The sequence below is a fragment of the Homo sapiens genome, chromosome 10 (assembly GCF_000001405.40).
Source record: "Homo sapiens chromosome 10, GRCh38.p14 Primary Assembly".
Lineage (NCBI taxonomy): Eukaryota > Metazoa > Chordata > Mammalia > Primates > Hominidae > Homo > Homo sapiens.
Genome location: NC_000010.11, coordinates 57390899 through 57410095, shown reverse-complemented (window position 1 = coordinate 57410095; position 19197 = coordinate 57390899). Strand labels below are relative to the sequence as shown.

The following is a 19197-nucleotide window of genomic DNA, read 5'->3' as shown; positions in this document are numbered from 1 at the left end:
ATTTTTAGCAGGAATATTTTTCCTTCTAGTGAATATGTGTTATCTAACTTCTTCCACAAGGAACACTTTCCAGAGAACATCATTGCCACTCAATTATATTAAAATAGAAGAAAGGGCAAACAGGGAATTGAAATGCATGCACTTTAGAGAAGACGCATAAAGTGGAACAATTTTTGACTTTAAAAGAGCAGTTCTCATCTGTGGCACGGTTTATTCAATAATTTCCATTTTTACCACCTGCAAGACTAAGGTCACCTTATTGTAAAAAATTAGGAAATAAACGATGACACAGTATTAAGAGACTGAGTATATCTGTTGAAACCAGAAGAGGAAGCATTGGGAAATGTATGAAGGACCTTTAAAATTCATTTTCTGTCTATGCTGTTCTTTTTTTTAAAAAAATGAGATTTATCCTTTACAAGGGTACTTTGGCTTGCCCTACTTATCTGAGTGATATGTAAAGTAATTCAGAGTTCTGGGAGCTTCAAAAGTTGCCATGATTTTTGAGTTACTTCTTTGATTTTTCTGCCATGTTTGCAGTAATGTGATGCTCTAGACCAATGACTTTTCTTGCCTGTATAATTGTGCTATAGCCCATAGCAGGTCTAGGCCAACTTACCTGAGTTTACGAGAAAATCACAGACAATGAGATATCCAGGATTTGGGTTCTCTAATGAATAAAGAATCAATGTAAATGATCTGAAGAGTTGGGATATTATTTTGTTTCTGTCTAAATAACGTATAATGAGGAAAACCAATTCTCATGGTGTATTAGTCCATTTTCATACTGCTATGAAGACACACCTTAGACAGGGTAGTTTAATAAGAAAAAGAGGTTTAATGGACTCACAGTTCAACATGGCTGGAGAGACCTCACAATCATGGCGGAAGGTGAAGCAAGAGCAAAGGTACATTTTACATGGCAGCAGGCAAGAGAGAGGTGCTGAGCAAAACGGGTAAAAGCCCTTTACAAAACCATCAGATCCCATGAGAACTCACTATCATGAGAATAGCATGAGGGTAACTGCCTGCATGATTCAATTACATCCCACTGGGTCCCTCCCATCACATATGAGGATTACAGAAACTATAATTCAAGATGAGATTTGGTGGGGACACAGCCAAACCATATCACATGGGTAGACATCCTTGTGGTATCCAGCCCTGCAGTCTCAACTTGCACAACAGCTCTGGGTGTTCACCAGCCCTTCACCATTTTGCCTATCTTTCCACAAAACCCACCTAGGTCTACATCCCAGGCAAAGAGGGAAAGGAGGAAACTATAGCACTTTAACTTAGTTTCCTCTCTACAGACTAAATTGATACCTGTAAGAATAGTTTTTGAGAATAATTATAATAGATTCATAGGATTCTTAGGGTTGCAGTTCAGGGCCTTGCTCTTCACAGATCCAGAATCCATTTTATTTCTCAGCTTCTACTTTGTGAATTTTGTCATTAGAAGGGTCCTCTTTCCTTGTAGGTAGCTGCTGGTAAGATTTTAGCTAATTTTACCATTATTTATTAAATTTAAATATATTAGATAAGCTAGATTACATAATTTTATATCACTCTACGATGTTTATTCTTATGTTCACCTCCAGTTGTTTATCTATGAAAATAACAGTTCCTATACAACAAATTTTAGAAAATAAAATTCCCTAAAACTATGCCAAATACTAGGAAGAAAGGTAATATAAGGGAAAGCATGGTGGCTTTTGAATCGATAAGATTTGACTCTCAGATTTTTCCAGGTAATGACTGTGTGACTTTGACAGATAACCTCTATGAGGATGAAATTTATCACTGGGGTAGTAAAACATCTAAATGAATTACAATATATAAGGCATCCAGTGTACTGACTGACACATTATAAATTTTAAGAGGTATCCTCACTATATAAATACATCACATTTAGCTTTGCCATCATCCTAACATCATTTTACAATGTGAGTAACAAGATAGGATATTTCACTTAATATAAAGGTTTTAAAATAATTTAAAACTTACATCAAGCTAGAAATTGACATTCATTTTAATGGCAATCAGTTTTTTATTTTGTGTAAGATGTTTTTTCTGCACTGCCTCACACCAACACAACCTCATCTGTAATTACAGCTGTAGCTGCAAAGGACTGCTCTGTATGGGCTTTGACTAATATTTTACCTATTAAACTTGATATATAGTTATTGATCAGTAGCATGTTTTGTCTTCAATCCCCATACTTTAGGAAAATCAAAACAAATTCTGTTTTACATGAAAAGGACAACAGCGAACATTTACCGTCATGCCCTAGGCTGCCTTAATTATCACAATTTGGGTCGTAATATAATCTATTGAATCTTTATCTCTTGACTTCCTAAAGAATATTATGATAGTCCATTATATGATAAGATCAAGTTACTTGGCTGTAGTGATCAGGCAATTCTATGTAAGATAGATGCATGGCAGGATATGGGAGAAAAATATCACAATGTTAAAAATCCTGCCTCATCAAAAAAGTGTTCATGGCTGCAATGTTCTGAAGCATATCAGAGCATTCTGTCAAAAGTAGAGAACAAGTTATTGCACCTTGAGCCTCTACATAAGAGGCATAACATTTAGTAGGTTTCTTTGGATTTTAAAGACAATATATACTACATCTGGGTATATGCCAAAATGTATTAATGATGCAGGAAGATTCCAGTTTCATGTGGGACCTAGATGACAATGGGCTCTGTATGGGGAGAGACTACAGCATAAGCTGTTCTGGACTTAAAATATATTATTCAGAATATCTAAAAGTGCTGTATCTTGTTGCAGATATCCACGACTGTTACAGATGCTTCGTGGAGGTTCAAAAAGACTACAGATCAAGGCCAGGTAATATGTAGCAGAAAACTACTTATCATATGGAAAATAGTGCTCTTAGTATGCTATTAGGCACTAGTATCATTCTGAAGTCAAAGATAACTGCCTATAAAATGTTGGGAAACATCAGATACTCTAAGGATTAGGTTAATGCAACTATAATAACAATTTTTTATATAATAGAAAGTTTCCATTTTGTATAACATTGAGCAGTAAAATGTTTATAAAGATGTTACATGAAGATGTAGTCTAGACTCATAAAACTTGCCTCTTTTGCACAGATTTCTCTCTCTTATCTACATCTGTGTTCTCATGTAGAATTCTTTACAGCTACCTACCAAAAGTGGAATATATCTTGGACCTAGATAATGGATGGGTTTCCCTGGTATATTGATGTGAGCTAAATATAGAATGTTACCACACCACATCCACTCTCACGAGTCACTCGTGATAGCATGCCATGGGTAAGGATCTGTCCAATGATTATTGCTGTGAGCCATTCACATTGTTTTTCACAATTATAGAGGGTAAAGTCGTCTAAGGTAAGGACATACATGGACTCAGACAGTGGAGAATGGCTTGACTTTTTGGTCATGAGTGTAAAACAAGCAAGATTGAAAAATCAACAAAGACGTCTAAGAGGAGGTATTATCAATACACCTTTGAGAGTGAGTACAAAGCATGCAGATTTTGTGTCTCCTGCAAATTCCCACCGCAGACCATTCTCTACAGAAAAGTCATTTACCAAACAGGTGAATGTAATGCTTTACCTGGTGGTGGTTAGCCAGCCTGTCTTCTTGACTACTCTGTGTAAAAGTCCCATGAATGCAGGGGGCATGGTGGCAGGCAGGGTTATATAATACATGACTCCGATACTATAGAGGACCTTCTCATTAAGAATGATCTAGATCATGCCACAACTCATTACCCTATCTGCCAGGAGCAACTACCAATGAAGAGTCTTCAATATAGTGCTGTAATCCAAAGAGAACAGCGAGCCAAGTGTTGAGAAGTTAGTTACATCAGACTCATTTCACCCTGGACACAACAGGCATTTATCTTTTGGGGATAACTTCTCTACCACCACTTGTACCACTTTCTGAGGGCTTGTGGATTTTCTGACTTGCCGACAAGAGATACAGTATAACATCTAAGAAAAAGGAATGATTTCATGATAAAAGAGTTATGACAATGAGTAATCATAGGCTCTACTTATGTTTTCATGTAATCTGTATTAGGGAAAAATACTAGCGTGGTAGAACAATGCAATGATCTGTTAAAAGCTTTGCTGAACTATTATTTTGGTGACAGCACCCACTATATAATACACTCTATGTACCAAACCAGCAGCCAGCACATAGGTCTCTTTCTTTAGTATATAGAATAACAGATAAAGAAACCAAAGACTAAAGTAAAGTTTAGTTCTTTTTAACATTCCTTCCAGAAACCTGTTTGGAGAATTTGCTCTTCCCATATTGCATATTTAGGCTCTGCTGTTATTAGATGCTCTGTTTCCCAGCAGGGGAGAGATTCTTTTAACAGAAGATAGTATGAGTATTTTATTAAACCTGGAACTATGACCCAGTCATTCTGAAATCCTCGTGCTAGCGGGCCTGTGTTTTATAAAGTAATCCAACTAAGGCACACTTTTAATTTAATATAATGTCAAAATATATGGCCTCTGGAAAATGATCATGTTTAAAGAAACCTTACAGGTGTCAAATCATATTAGAATTTGTTACAACTAGAGTAAATATTCACATAATAAATTTCTTTGAATTTATTGTATTTTGCAAAAGGAGTGACACATTTTAAGTAATCAAATTGAAATACAGAGTTTATTTTATTACTGATAAAAGATACCACTAGATAAAAATGGAAGACTTAGTCTCACAAATACTAGTCAATTAAGATAACTTATTTTACTAAGATGGTGTTAGGTTATTAATATCTATAGTTATATGATATAAGTGACACATTTTGCCAGTAAAATTTGTTACTATTCTAACAAGGTATAACAAAATTAGTGATTTTGCAACTTTTTGACCAGAATAATATATATTATGTATATATGTAGTATATAATATATAATATACAGTATAATATTATATATAGAATTACATATATGATATATAGAATTATATATAATATAGCACTAGCAGCAGAAATCAAGAATAGATTGTGAGATGAAATTCAGCTATCTATGTCAATGACTTCCTTTCTAGTCCTGAATCTAAAATTGCAGAGCAGAATACTTTCCCCCTGTGAGGAAGAATTCTCAGAAGAGATAGGAAAACCATTCAAGTGAAATGATGCCTTCATCTTCAAAGATAAATGTAGCTTGTTTATGAAAAAATTAAGTAACTTTCCCTGTTAATTGTATAACTCTTTGAAGCCAGTCTTCCTAAGTTTAAATATAGAAGAGAATGTCCTATACTACAGTACTTAAGTTTTTCATGGAAATAATAGCCATTTCATGGAAAGAATATGTAATAACCAATATGGAGTGAATGTTACCAACTTTTTTCTCCTAAAACTTATGATACTTAAATTTGAGTATCCATACTTAAATTCCCCTTGAAGTGAGATGATACAGTGTACTGTCTGTGGCATATAATATAAAGAAGTCATTTTCCTTTACCTCTCACACTGACTTGTATAGAAGAAAGCAAATACTCTTTGCACACAATAAATCTGTGACACCCATGCAAAGCAGATTTTCTTTACTTGCCCTTCTGACAGTTCATTTGCAAGCCAACAAATGGGTTCAAGTCTGGTGACAGATAAAAGAATATCCTTTTCTTGTCCATTGCTTCACTCCTTTTGAAGATTTTATATTTAATTATACATTTATTGAGTCTTTTATTTTATTTGAGAGGCAATGAATAGATGCCATAAATTCTAATCAAATTAAAATTAGCTACAATGTAATTAAACCAATTTGAAAATAGTTGCCTCTAAAAGGCATCTTTGTGTAATGGGAGCGGTAATAGTCTATTCTCTGAATATGAACATCCCAAAAGAGATGGATTATAAGTATTTTTACACAGCATTCTTTTATTTATAGGACCCTCATTAATCACCTAGCAAACAAAGTCCTGACAATTTAATAAAAATGTTTAACAGATATTTAAATATAAATTATTAAATCATTTATATGTTTCTTTTTGTGTGCATTATGCTAATTTCACAAGGTAGCTGAATGTCTACAAAAATTGTCTTTGTAATTTCAAATTCTGGCAGCTACATTTATTATGAGCCTTTCAGCAGTGACCCATTTATTATGTACATGGATCGGGCTACTTTGCTGGTATCTCTTTTAACTAATTTCAGGAAAAAACAGTGCTTCAAAACCCTTGTTTAACCATATCCTCCCCTAAGAAAGTGTATGTAGATTTTTGTTTACTTCCTGAAAATATCTTTGATCCACCACCCACAAGTATATACAAACATATGAAAATTTCTCCCATAACTCTTTTTTGTTGCATTTAATTTTCTATCCTGAAATTATTTTTTGCACATTTGTCTTTCTAAATAAAACTTGAGCTCACTAAATACATTTGCTGTTCCTTAATTTTTGTTTAGTTATGTTTGTATAACCTGGTAGCTACTATTTATTAGATATTCAATAAATGTATGTATATTGAATAAATTATTCCAAGAATAAATGTGAAGGAACTGGATTATTTTATTTTATTTTCTCAAACATAAGTTCATAGAAAGTAGCTTACCCAATTTAGTGGCAAAAAAAATAACAATGACAAAAACAACCCAAACGGTGAAAGAAAAGAAGACAAAAGTTTACCAGTTCTGATTTAATGTTTTTTAAAGTTGCTTTTCTCTTTCATCTAAGAGCATTAACCGAAATACATGCTCAAAGTTACTTGGGTAGGTCCCCAATGTCTTACTTTGGTTAATTTATTTATCTTATTTTTGAGTACATTATCTTAGTCCATTTGTATTTCTATGAAGGGATACTTGAGGCTGGGTAATTTATAAGGAATAAAAGGTTTATTTGGTTTGTGATTTTGTTGTCTGGAAAGTTCAAAATCTGGTATGTGGCAAAGGGAAGCCAGCTTGGGCAGAGAGGAAACAAGAGAGAAAGGGGAGCAGATACCAGGTTCTTCTTAACAAGAAGCTCTCATGGAAACTACAGAGGCAGACCTCACTCACTCAACATCCCCCACTCAATAGGGAGGACATTAATCTATTCATGAGAGGTTCACCCACATGGCCCAAACACTTCCCATTAAGCCCCACTTCCAACATTGGGGATTACATTTCAGCATGAGATTTGAAGGAAAGACTCAAACAAACTCCCATATACGTAGTATACTATGAATGATTCACATAGTTTCAAAAGATAGGAGTGTGCCCCAGTGTGTATTCTGAGAGGTGCCACATATTTGTCCCCTATTCTTTCTCTACTGCTTCCACCCTGTTCCACCTAATTCCAGCCCCTCACCCCTCTAGGTAATTGATTCAGTTATTTATTTATTCTCCTTGTGTGTGTATGTCTGTATATATGTATTTTTTCTTTTTGTTTACACAAAAGAGCTCTCTCTCTCTCTTTCTCTCTCTCTCTCTCTCTCTCTCTCTCTCTCTCTATATATATATATATATATATTCCTTTGAATATTTCTTTTTTTTAATAACATAAGCTGGAAATCACTCCATTCAGCTCATGAAAATATTATTCCTTATTTTACAGCTGGACAATACTCCAATATGCAGATGGAGCGCATCTTTTTCAACTATTCTTTTACATTTGGGCATTTAATTTGTTTACAACATTTTGGAATTATAAATCTTCCTGCTATAAATAATTTTGTGCAGATATCTTTTTATATTATTGGAGTTGAATCTTCATGGAAAATTTCTAGATGTGGGCCAGAAGCTAAGCTTATTAGTGTATTAATTAGATATTATAAAATGCTCCTTTATATGGGTGTTCTAATTTATATTACTACTAGAATTATATGAAAGTACCTGTTTCCCCAGCCTCATTAACAATTATAATAATTTTTATTATTTAACCAATTTTAGAGATAAGTAATAATATCTCATGTGTGATAGAAATTTTCATTTCTCTAGGTATGAGGTGGAACATCTTTTGTTATGTTTAAGGGCTATTTTATATATTTTTCATGAATTGACTGTTGACCCTTCTAACCTATTTTTCTGTCATGAGCTCATTAATTTTTAAAGAATAAAATAATGGCTTCCCATGCATTTTTTAAAAATCTTATTGTTACTTATATTTAATTTGCAAAGGTATCTAATCTAGTAATCTGAATAAGGTTGCATTTGTAGATTCTGCAGAAGCTGTGAGAATTACTCAGTGTCATTTGCACTGCTGAGTACAGCCAAAGACCTTATTATTAGTCCATCTATATTCAAATTTGGAGCTCTTCTAAATATGAAATATATATATATTGCAAATAAACACTCTTTGGAGAGACTAAACCATTAATACATTATCTCTTTTAGATGGGCAATAAGACATCCATATTCCAATAATTCTGAATATGAATTAATAGGTATAAATATATTTATGTGAAATTTGAGTAATTGTGTGCATGTTAGAGAGTTCTCGCTACATAACATAAATGAAATTCCATATGTGATTAGGAAGTTCAATTAATCTTTTGAACTATACTACTTATGCTGTCATTCATAGCTTAACATTTTTAATAGTACAGTAATCTCTGATTTTTTTCATTGCATGTTCACACAACTAATAGTATAATACTTTATAATATAAGAATATTAGTTCACAGAACTAATATCTTCCAAACTGCTTGCCTTTCCTTGCTTTTTTACTTTCCCTAGTCTCTTGTAAGGCTTTCCTATTTTCCACCCCATCTTCCTCAAACCCCTTTCATCCTCTGGCCCTGTTTCAGTTTAGCATCTTAGCTTGATATACAAATTGGTGACATTTCTGATTTAGATATGTAGATTTATTCTCGTAATCTAAGAAAATACTATATTTTCCCATATGACATTCTAAGGTAGTTTTATATTTACCACTTTGTAAATACAAAATCAAAAATGTATGGTTTGGATCTGGAAGTGTCTGATTCTTCACAACATTAGTAAAAATGTGTAGCTACATTTTCTCTAAAATTGAAGTATTTGTAATACCAGAACTATTCATAAAGACAAATGTGAGAACTGCCCCAAAACTTGAGCAAATAATACTTCCAGAGGATAAATAAAATGTATTTCTCATAATTAGAGCACAGTTAGGCCTGTTCCATCTATAGCTATATCACGAGGAAAGCTATTTTTACTTTTGGAGAGAAAGCCATTTGTTTTTCTGGCTACTGACTCTTATGGGTAGTTGAGTTTCAAGGAAAGATCACTAGATTTAAAATTGTTAGATCTGGATAGACTCATGCTGCTGCTGGCAAGATACTATGTTATTAGCAGTTTGACACAGTCCTTAACTTAGACTAACTTTAGGTATTTTAATATGATTATATGCACATTGAATTTGATTAATTTAATTCCATTACTTAATCATGATTATAGCTATTAGACAGTGTGATTTAAAATATAAGTTTCTGAGCTGAGTGCAGTGGTGCATGCCTGCAGTTGCAACTACTTGGGAGGCTAAGGATGGAGGATCGTTTGAGCCCAGGGGTTGGAATTTAGCCTAGGCAACACAGGGAGACCCTGTCTTTAAAAAATAAAATAAAATATTAACTTTTGTGGGAAACCAAACTTACTTATTTTCTTTGTTAGCTACAAATATTATTGCATACTTCCTAGAGTTTTGGATTGATTTAGATATTGTTTTTAGCATGCTGGTCACATGGGCATATAAATGGCAGGGATTATTATTGTAATCCTAAATATCAAGGTCATCATTGTAGTTTATAAGTTTTCAGGCACCGCTCTATTAAGAATTTGGTCTCTAAAGAAAAACGAGATTTGGGCTGGGCGCAGTGGCTCATACCTGTAATACCAGCACATTGGGAGTCTGAGGCGGGCGAATCACGAGGTCAGGAGATCGATACCATCTTGGCCAACGTGGTGAAACCCCGTCTCTACTAAAATACAAAAACTTAGCTGCGCTTGGTGGTGCGCACCTCTAGTCCCAGCTACTCGGGAGGCTGAGGCAGGGGAATTGCTTGAACCCGCAGGCGGAGGTTGCAGTGAGCCGAGACCGCACCACTGCACTCCAGCCTGGCAACAGAGCAAGACTCTGTCTAAAAACAAAAAAAAGCAAGATTTACATGTGTAATATATATTTTATATTTTGTATAATAGATACATATAACATACCAAATTATATATGTATCTCATATATACATACGTATTTTGCCATACCTGTTTTTACTCTATAATGAATGATTTTCAGATTTTTTTGGTGGAATAGAAGAATAGCTATAAATAATGGCTATAAATAAAAGTATGGCTATAAATAAATAAACATAATAATTAATTTGGTCATCATTTATAGCTCACAGATAATTTTCAGGTTTTCACCCAAAAGGTATCACCTGTTTTTCAAATTTTAATTATCAGAAATCCTCATATAGAGGATTATGAGAAAGCAGAGCTCTTCCAGGTGTGTTCCTGTGCTGGACAAGTAAGTGAAAATAAACTTCTCCACTGGCTGGCAGGAAGCCTGGGCTTTAATGGGTGAGGCAGGCAACTTTCTCTATGAATAGTTCTCTAGGGGAAGGTGTTCAGAGAGGTTTATTTGGCCTGCTAAGCAAGTCTCTGAGGCACTGTCTTTCTGGCCCTGTTCAACTTTTTAAAAGAGTTCACTTCCATCTGATCCAAGTGAGGTGGACTCTATCTAAAAGAAACATCCTGGGGGAAAGTCAGTAATGATTGAACTGTCTTCAAAACTGCTTGCCTTTCCTTGCTTTTTACTTTCCCTAGTCTCTTGTAAGGCTTTCCTGTTTTCCACCCCCTCTCCCTCCAACCCCTTTCATCCTCTGTCCCTGTTTCTGTTTAGCATCTTAGTTTGATACGCAAATTGGTGACATTTCTGATTTAGATATTGTCTTTCCTCTATGATGTGGCGTTGTTAAGACTTAATTATTCCTAAGAAACTCCTCCATCAAGCAAATGTTCAAGGTGGTTATGGCAGCAAATGAAGGCAGCCACAAACACAAACAGGCATGTTTAGCCCTGTGGTGGGCTTTGGAGACTACAAAAAGTGTGGAGGAGATAAGCTCCCCCATCAGACCTGTTTGTAATGTGTCACCCATTAAGACCTCCCTTTTCATCTTCCAAGTATACAAAGGAAATATACATTTCTAAAGAAAATATATGTTTAAAAAGTTAAATATAAAAATTAGAAATCTATGTTAATAGTATTTGTGTGTTTGTGCACGTGTGTGTGTGTGTGTGTGTGTGTGTGTTTCCTAGAGACAGGGTCTTGCTCTGTCACCCAGGCTGCAATGCAGAAGCACAATCATGGCTCACTGTAGCCTCAAACTTCTGGGCTCAAACAATCCTTCCACCTCAGCCTTCCAAGTAGCTAAGTCCACAGGCCCACACCACCACTCATAGACAATTTATTTTATTTAATATTTCTGTAGAGACAGGATCTTGCTATGTTGCCCAGGATGGTCTCAAACTCCTGGTTTCAGGCTGTCCTTGCTTTGGCCTCCCAAAATGCTGGGATTACAGGTGTGCCCTACCATGCCCAGCTAATATTATAGCTTGTTTTAGGGGGTAAATGTTTACTGTCACAATACCAATATGAGCAAAAATAAAAATTAATTCACAAATTTTAAAGTGGCTCTCCTACAGATGAAACTGTTTCACATGCTTTTCTCATATGACCCCCATATGCTGTCTTTTGAGATACATATCCTCATTTTAGATTTCCTAGGGGGAAATCGAAGTTCAGAAATGTTCTGGAAAATGACATGTTAACATCAGATAAGAAGCGACTTGAGTAAGATTTGAGTCTAGGTTTCAGGCATGTGAATTACTAACTCTGCCAAGCTCTCCATTCATTTGCCCTGGCCTGCCTTCCTGATTACACATATTGGTCTAGAGTGGAATACCTAGCTACCACATCCTACCATTTTGATAATGGCATCCGCTCAAATTGCATATGAATATGTCCTATTACTGTATTGTTTTTAAACACAAATCAGTTTTCTTGGGTAACAGGACCATTGTCCAGTTAGATCCTTTAGTCCTGATTCTAGTTGTAGACTATTCCAACCAATACTTTGACTTAATATCTTACAGTCAAGCCAATGGCTTATATCAATATCAACGTGCATTTTAAATATTTAATTATACAGTACATCACTTCTCTTTGTAATGAATTTTAATTATATGTAGGCAGTATTGTGTTCCTAAAAAGAAGTATATACAATCATATTTTAAATATACTTGAGAAATTTTAAACGTCACTTGTTAATCTTATAATATAATTTTTAGTAAATCATCACACTGAAATTACATCGAAGAAGAGACAATTGGGTTTTTAGGCTAATTTTTCAATTAACATTTCAAACTATGATGCCATTCTTCAATATTCCTATGATTCATGTGTCAGCCAAGATAGCTTTGTTCAATTACTAAAGAGTCATTTTGTTTAAAAGCTACCTAGGCTTTGAGATTTTTTAAAGAAGCGATTACATTTAAACCAGGGGTCATCAAACTTTTTCTGTAAAAGGTCAGATAGCAAATTTTGGCTTTGCAGGCTATAGGTGTCTGTTATAATTACTCAAATCTACTGTTGTAGCTGGAAAGCAGCCAGCAAATTGGCTGTGTTTCCCTAAAATTTTATTTCTAAAAACAGGTGGTGGGCCAGATTTACCAGTTTGCAGTTTGCCTACCCCTGATTTAAACAGCTCCGTACTCAATGGAAAGCTGATTTCACTGCTATTTAGGCAAATTAAAGCTGAGATGATAAACTTAAAAAACTAAATTTTAAAATATTTTAACAAGCAAATCATCAGCTTATTCCTATTACAAATCATTATTGTCATCTATGATGCTTAAAATTGTTTGTTTAAAATCATGTAATTCATTTTGAAATTTAGCAGTCATGATGAAATAATTTAAATTCTTCATTCTGCTCAGGATTTGAGTCAGTCAGAGGATATCGTTCTCACACCTGTATCCAAAGGTGAGCACACAGAATAGCACTCATTCCTCTTCCCTGCCCTGCAGTGTAGCATAAAATCAAATCTGCCTCTCAAGATGATTTAAAGACAGGGAAAGCCTGAGAAGAATTGTAAAGTAATTGAATTTTCAGTTCAGTCCTGTCCACCTTTCCTTTCTATTCTCATCTCCCCACTTGTGGTGCATGAGTTTTTCCTCCCAGGTACATGTTCCCATGTGAGAGCAATACCTCTACCATCCTGAGGCATTCTGCCAATGTCTGGGAAGCATCCCTTTCTATATTCCATGTCTTAAAAGTTTAACATGCAATATCAATTTGTGAAAGTGAGTTTTCCAAAAGAGCAGTTAGTTATGTAGTAATCATATAACATATTTGTGTTTTAGTAAAGGGATTCCTTAAATTGAAATTCTTGATCAAAGTAATTAGTCTCTGTTCATTGATGTTTTAGTACCATGGAAAAGAAAAATCTGCAAGTGATTCATCACAAATCACACACTTTTGCTAGTACCTTATTTTATTTACATTTTATGACAATCCCCTTAAGGCAACTGTTAGAAATCCAACCAATTTCCAAGATTCCCCTAACTAACTACCCTTCTACTTCTCAGGGAGGATAAAAAAAAGATATAAGCTGCTAGTCAGCCCATAAATCAGTTTATTTACATGTTAATTAAAAATTTTACTTTCTGGTCATTTTCTAAACATGTTGTTCTAAACCTGTTGATCATTTGCATAGACTCTCTGGGGGTCCCAGATTTATTTGCATTACTCTCCAGAAAGGACTTTTCTTTTCTATGGGGATGTTGCTGAAAGAACATTTGAATGAGCAAAGAGGCCAGGGATAAGTGCAACTCTCAGGCCTTCTAAGAAATGTATAGGAAGACAGCTCAGGAGATGGCACTGACATCACTTCCTTTGCCACTTAGACTTGTGCATAGCTTTTAGGAATACAGTCATGTGCTGCATAACGATGTTTCAGTCAACGAATATGCGTTTCAGTCAAGCTCCACAAAATTATAATGGAGCTGAAAAATTCCTGTCTCCCAGTGACGTGGTTGCCATGACATTGTAGTCCAATGCATGACTCACTTGTTTGTAGCAATCCTGGTGTATATGAACCTACTGTGCTGCAGGCCATCTAAAAGTGTAGCACGTACAACTATGCACAGTACATAATACTTGATAAGAAAAATAAATGTTTCTGGCTTATGTATTTACTATAATATACTTTTCTTGTTATTTTAGAGTGTAATCCTTCTAGTTATAAGAAAAATAAAAGTTAACTGTAAAACAGGACCTTGAAAAGGTCCTGAAAAGGCCGGTCCTTGAAAAGGTATTCCAAAAGAAGGCATTGTAATAGGTGATGACAGTTCCATGTGTGTTTTTGTCCTTGAAGACCTTCCAGTGGGAACACATGAAGAAGTGAAAGGCAATGATATTAGCCTGACCCTCTATAGGTCTAGACTAGTGTGTTTGTGTCTTACTTTTAAATGAAAAATGTTTTAAAAGTATAAGTAAATTTAAAAAGTTTTAAAAATAGAAAAAATAGTTTGTAGAATAAGGATGTAAAGAAAATCCTTTTGCACAGCTGTACAATGTGTTTCTATTTTAAGCAAAGTGTTATTACAAAATAGTCCAAAAGTTAAAAAAAAAACAAAGTTCATAAAGTAAAAAAGTTACAATAAGCTAAGGTTAATTCATTATTGAAGAATTATATTAAAAAATAAATTTAGTGTAGCCTAAGTATACAGCGTTCATAAAGTCCACAGTAATGTAGAGTAATGTCCTAGGCCTTCATATTCACTCAGCACTCACTCACTAAGTCACTCAGAACAACTTCCAGTCTTGCAAGCTCCATTCATCATAAGTGCCCCATATTGATGTACCGTGTTTTATAATATCTTTTATACTGTATTTTTATTGTACTTTTTATATGATTAGATTTGTTTAGATACACAATTACTTACCATTGCGTTACAGCTGTCTACAGTATTCAGTATAGTCATATGCTACAAAGGTTTGTAGCCTAGAAGCAATAAGCTATACCATATATCCTAGATTTGTAGTGGTCTATACCATCCAGGTTATGTAAGTACACTCTATGATGTTTTCACAATGATGAAATTGCCTACAACGTATTTCTTATATCATATCTCATCCTTAAAGCCATGATTTTATAAACACCAGAGGAGTAAACAGAAGCGTGAGCAATTGCTAGTGGAGAGATTGAGATCTCAGCACTTAATATATCTACATTTACTCCAGTTAGACTGACCCAATATAAGACTCATAACCTGACAACATGGTCAGGCATTCAGCACAAGGATTATGATAAATGGATCTGGACTGATCTCAGACAGGGGTTCCTCCTCTACTTGCCTTTAGTTAAGGGCTGAACAGAACCCTAGAGAGTGAGAAGTTTTAGGTAACACCAGTATCTCACTATAACTCTAACTACATGTTATCTAATTCCTATTACCTGCAAAACCCCTAACCTATGACATTGTACTAGTTGATTTATATATAGATAATTATTAACTATCCACTGACTACTTAAATCAAAGTCACTGTGGTTTATGCTTAAAAGGAATATTCTTGCACACTGTTAAAATATACTGAATTGGAATCTATGGAGCTGTAATCCATGTAATCTATATGTAAACCTGCTTTCCTGGTGATTCTTATGGACAATACAGTTAACAAATGACTGGCATATCTTTTATAAATCCTTTAAATAACTGTGCAAATAAGGTGTTATTTATGGATGAGAAGTTTAAGGTTGTGTGTGGTAATATAATTACTTTAATACCATTCCTTTAGTGAGAACCAATGCAGTATTTGAACATAGGACGCTTTCTCAAAAATACCAGGAACACTATGGCATAGTGGATGCTCAGTATATTGTATGATACTTATATGATAAATTGCAAAGATATATACTTATTTTAATATAGAAATAAAAATCATGACTTTAAAAAGTTAATTTTGGCTTGTTTGCATATTTTCTGTTTATGTTTCACTTCAGGGTGTATATTTTTTATTACTAATCTTTTTGTTGACCTAATAAGTTTCAAGTTAAGTCTTCAATCAGATATTATTAATCAGAGATGAGATTCCTAAAGAGATCCAACTGACAAGACATTGTTTATCATCTGAAGAAAGCACACATTTCTCATACAGGCAGGTCAGTAGTTGATACTTCAATGCATATAAGTCAACATAGAGCAAAGCTATCCATCTACTTCTACCATCCTTAACACTACTCAGGGAGAGAGGAAAAACCAATAATGTTTTGGAAAGATGTGGAATTAGTCTCAGAACCAGCTGCTTGATGCAGCTGCTAGAATAAAACTGGCTGATAAAGCAGTATTGGTGACAGTGGGTACTTCCTTGCCTTAATTGGATAGAATTCCAAGTGGGCATTGCACTTTTAAGTTAGAAAATTATCAGGCACTACCACTTCCAAACTGTTTACCTTGAGACTAGGCAAGTGAAATTGGGCAAGAAATACAAATTATTTTAGAATGGAAGAGATGACATTTCCAAACATGGACTTAAGCTACAAAATATAAGGTTGAAGGTACTGAATTGGTAATTCCCTGGAACTGAAGAAACGTGTTCACTATGCTCTACACCCCCAAATGTCCACTCCACACATTGCAAAATGCAGACGTTTCAGACAAGAGAATAATTTCCTTTGTTCATGGCTCTGCTGCAGGTTCACAGATAAACAATTATTATAGAACATTAAAGTTTCAGAATATGATCATCTTTTTAAGTTCCCTAGCTGAGAGACAAGAGTAATGATGGTTTAGCTTGGAATAAGTAAAATAATATTTGATGAAGTCTTCTAGATGGCTTGTGTCCATTTTGCTTGCTTTGTTTTCAGTTGTTGAGACTGCCAAGGAAATACTTCATTTTGTTTGTTTGTTTTTGCAATATTAACTTCTTGATGACAAGAAATGTAATTAAACAGAGATAAAAGGATTCTTTGGTCAAATCTAATAATCATTGATCACAACATAAATTCAAATTTAAAAGATCTGGCAAAGAAGGGAAACAACTTTTTCGTATTAGTAAACATCAGACACATGGAGTTGTGTTCATGTGAATGTTGATTATCGTAGTGAGCTTTTCTGTGATCACCAAAGAGAGGCAGCAAGGGTGAATCATTTTGATGTAGACATTTCAGAAAATAAACTATTTGTTTTTTGTCTTTCTTCCTTTTGTTCTTTCTTCTGTTCTTTCTTTTTCTTATTTCATTTTTGTTAGAAATATTAAATATATAACATCTAATGTTTATGTTTCATTAAATTTGTTTATCTTAAACTGTGCTTCTTACTTTTGTTAATGATTGTTCTTGTGGAGACATCTGCCCAGAACTCTGCTACAAATACAGAGTGTTGGCAGGAGAATATGAATAAATAAAATTTAAAAGGTAGATATAAACAAAATAAGATAACTATCTCCATGGACCAGGAATTAGAAGATAAAAAAATACCAAAGCCACAGTCTTGTCTTTATTCCGTAATAGAGAGAGGCTGCCTTCTCCAGTATGGGGCATTATATAAATACAAGCAGCAATCTCTGACATTTTTGAGTCTACAATTACTGTAGACTCTTGCAGGGTCCTAGAGAATAAAAATGCCAAACTCTACACAGAAACCCTGGCCAGTCTCACTTCCTAAAATGGAGTTCAGGCTCACAGCTGGAAACAGGAACTAATGTAGCTTCAAAGCAATAGCTTGGGCTATGGTGCCCATTTTTGTAAATATTGGCTTTTGTCTTAATTCAGTGTCCAGGGTTGATTATATAATTTGTAAGGTCTAGTGCAAAATGAAAGTGTGGGGCTCTAGTTCAAAATATAAGCAAAAGGTTCTATTAAGTGTATCAAAGTATAAAATGTTTCCTTTATCTGTGATCTATTTTTCAACTTGTTACGTCTTTCAGTTTGTTTGTTTTGTTTTTCCTTTGCTATTCTATGTCCTTTTATGTAAAAAAATTAAAAATCTAAATTACCACAATAAATTTTCACATTCATTTTTATGTTGTGCAGTATCAATTTAAAATGCAAATATAAAAGCATTTAACTTATACATAGAATCACAAAAATTACATAATACATATTTCATAGTATGTACATGCATGTATATTTTGTTACTACCAACATATATTTTGTGCAGTAGAAACACTGCACAAAACTAACTCAACTTTTCTATTTATCGTATCAATATACACACATTCTACCAACACTCTCTACCTATTACTTACCAATGGGTATATAAGGATCAAATGGAGAAGAGACTATGAGCTGTCTTATGTTTCTCTTCCCTGCCTTCATTTTCAGCATAAGTGGTCGGCTAATATAGGAAAGAAACTTCTGAGTAAGAAATGATATGATAGGACTCTTTGGTTGTTCATGTTTCTTAGAAATCTGTAGCCTTCTTTCTGTGTGTGCAGCCAGTTTTTGTTGGAACAGAAATTATCGCCTCTCGGCGCTATTAACAGCTCTGCCTGAACAGAACACATTTACCCTGTACTTGTATTGAATTTTTTGGAACTACCACTTACTGAGAGCACACAGGGACTCTGTGCTTATGGGACACCAGGAAGGCTCTATGTGCATGGGCATCAAGCAACAGAGACATGCATATTGTACATAAGTCTGCTCAAATGCATGCTCCATTGTCCCTTCAGATTTCACTGACAAACACAAGTTTAAAGATAACATTATTAACAATACCAAGACCAAGACAGAAGAGCATTAAACCAAGGAAGGGGCTCATCTAAATTAGCAATCCAATGCAATATTTCGTGTTGCTTGCCCAAGAATCTAGCCCAGCCACTATTGCATTGGGGCAGCATTTTGGAGCCATCTGCATAAGACTTGGTTTAGACATGAGCTTCTGGAAGGAAGGGGGAGAAAACTGAAAAAGGACTAGTGAAAAGAGAAGGCTGATAATCAAGGTCAATACAGAGCCTAGAAACTAAAATTCTAAATACATAGGTGAACAAAGGAAGCTAACCTATACAGTAACATTCTGTAAATTAATTCACTTTTCAAAATAAAAATAATAATGAAAATTTTGAATAATTTAAAAACAATTACACTTAAGTCCTCAAAAACATGGAGAACATTTATGTGCATAAGCGGAAACAAGAAATCACAAAATAAAAAATAACACAACAAAATAAGAAGGATGAAGAAAACTAAATAATTGGAAACTCTCAAAATACAA

General features: G+C 34.4%; 1 long non-coding RNA gene across 1 annotated transcript in view; it reads left to right on the top strand.

The window, feature by feature from the left end:
• The first annotated feature begins 2797 nt into the window (after positions 1-2797).
• Positions 2798-19197, top strand: part of LOC105378313 (uncharacterized) — an 85058-nt gene continuing 68658 nt past the window's right edge. Inside the window, exon 1 of the long non-coding RNA XR_001747453.1 lies at positions 2798-2859. This is a non-coding gene — a long non-coding RNA (uncharacterized LOC105378313). The remainder of the gene's footprint in view (positions 2860-19197) is intronic.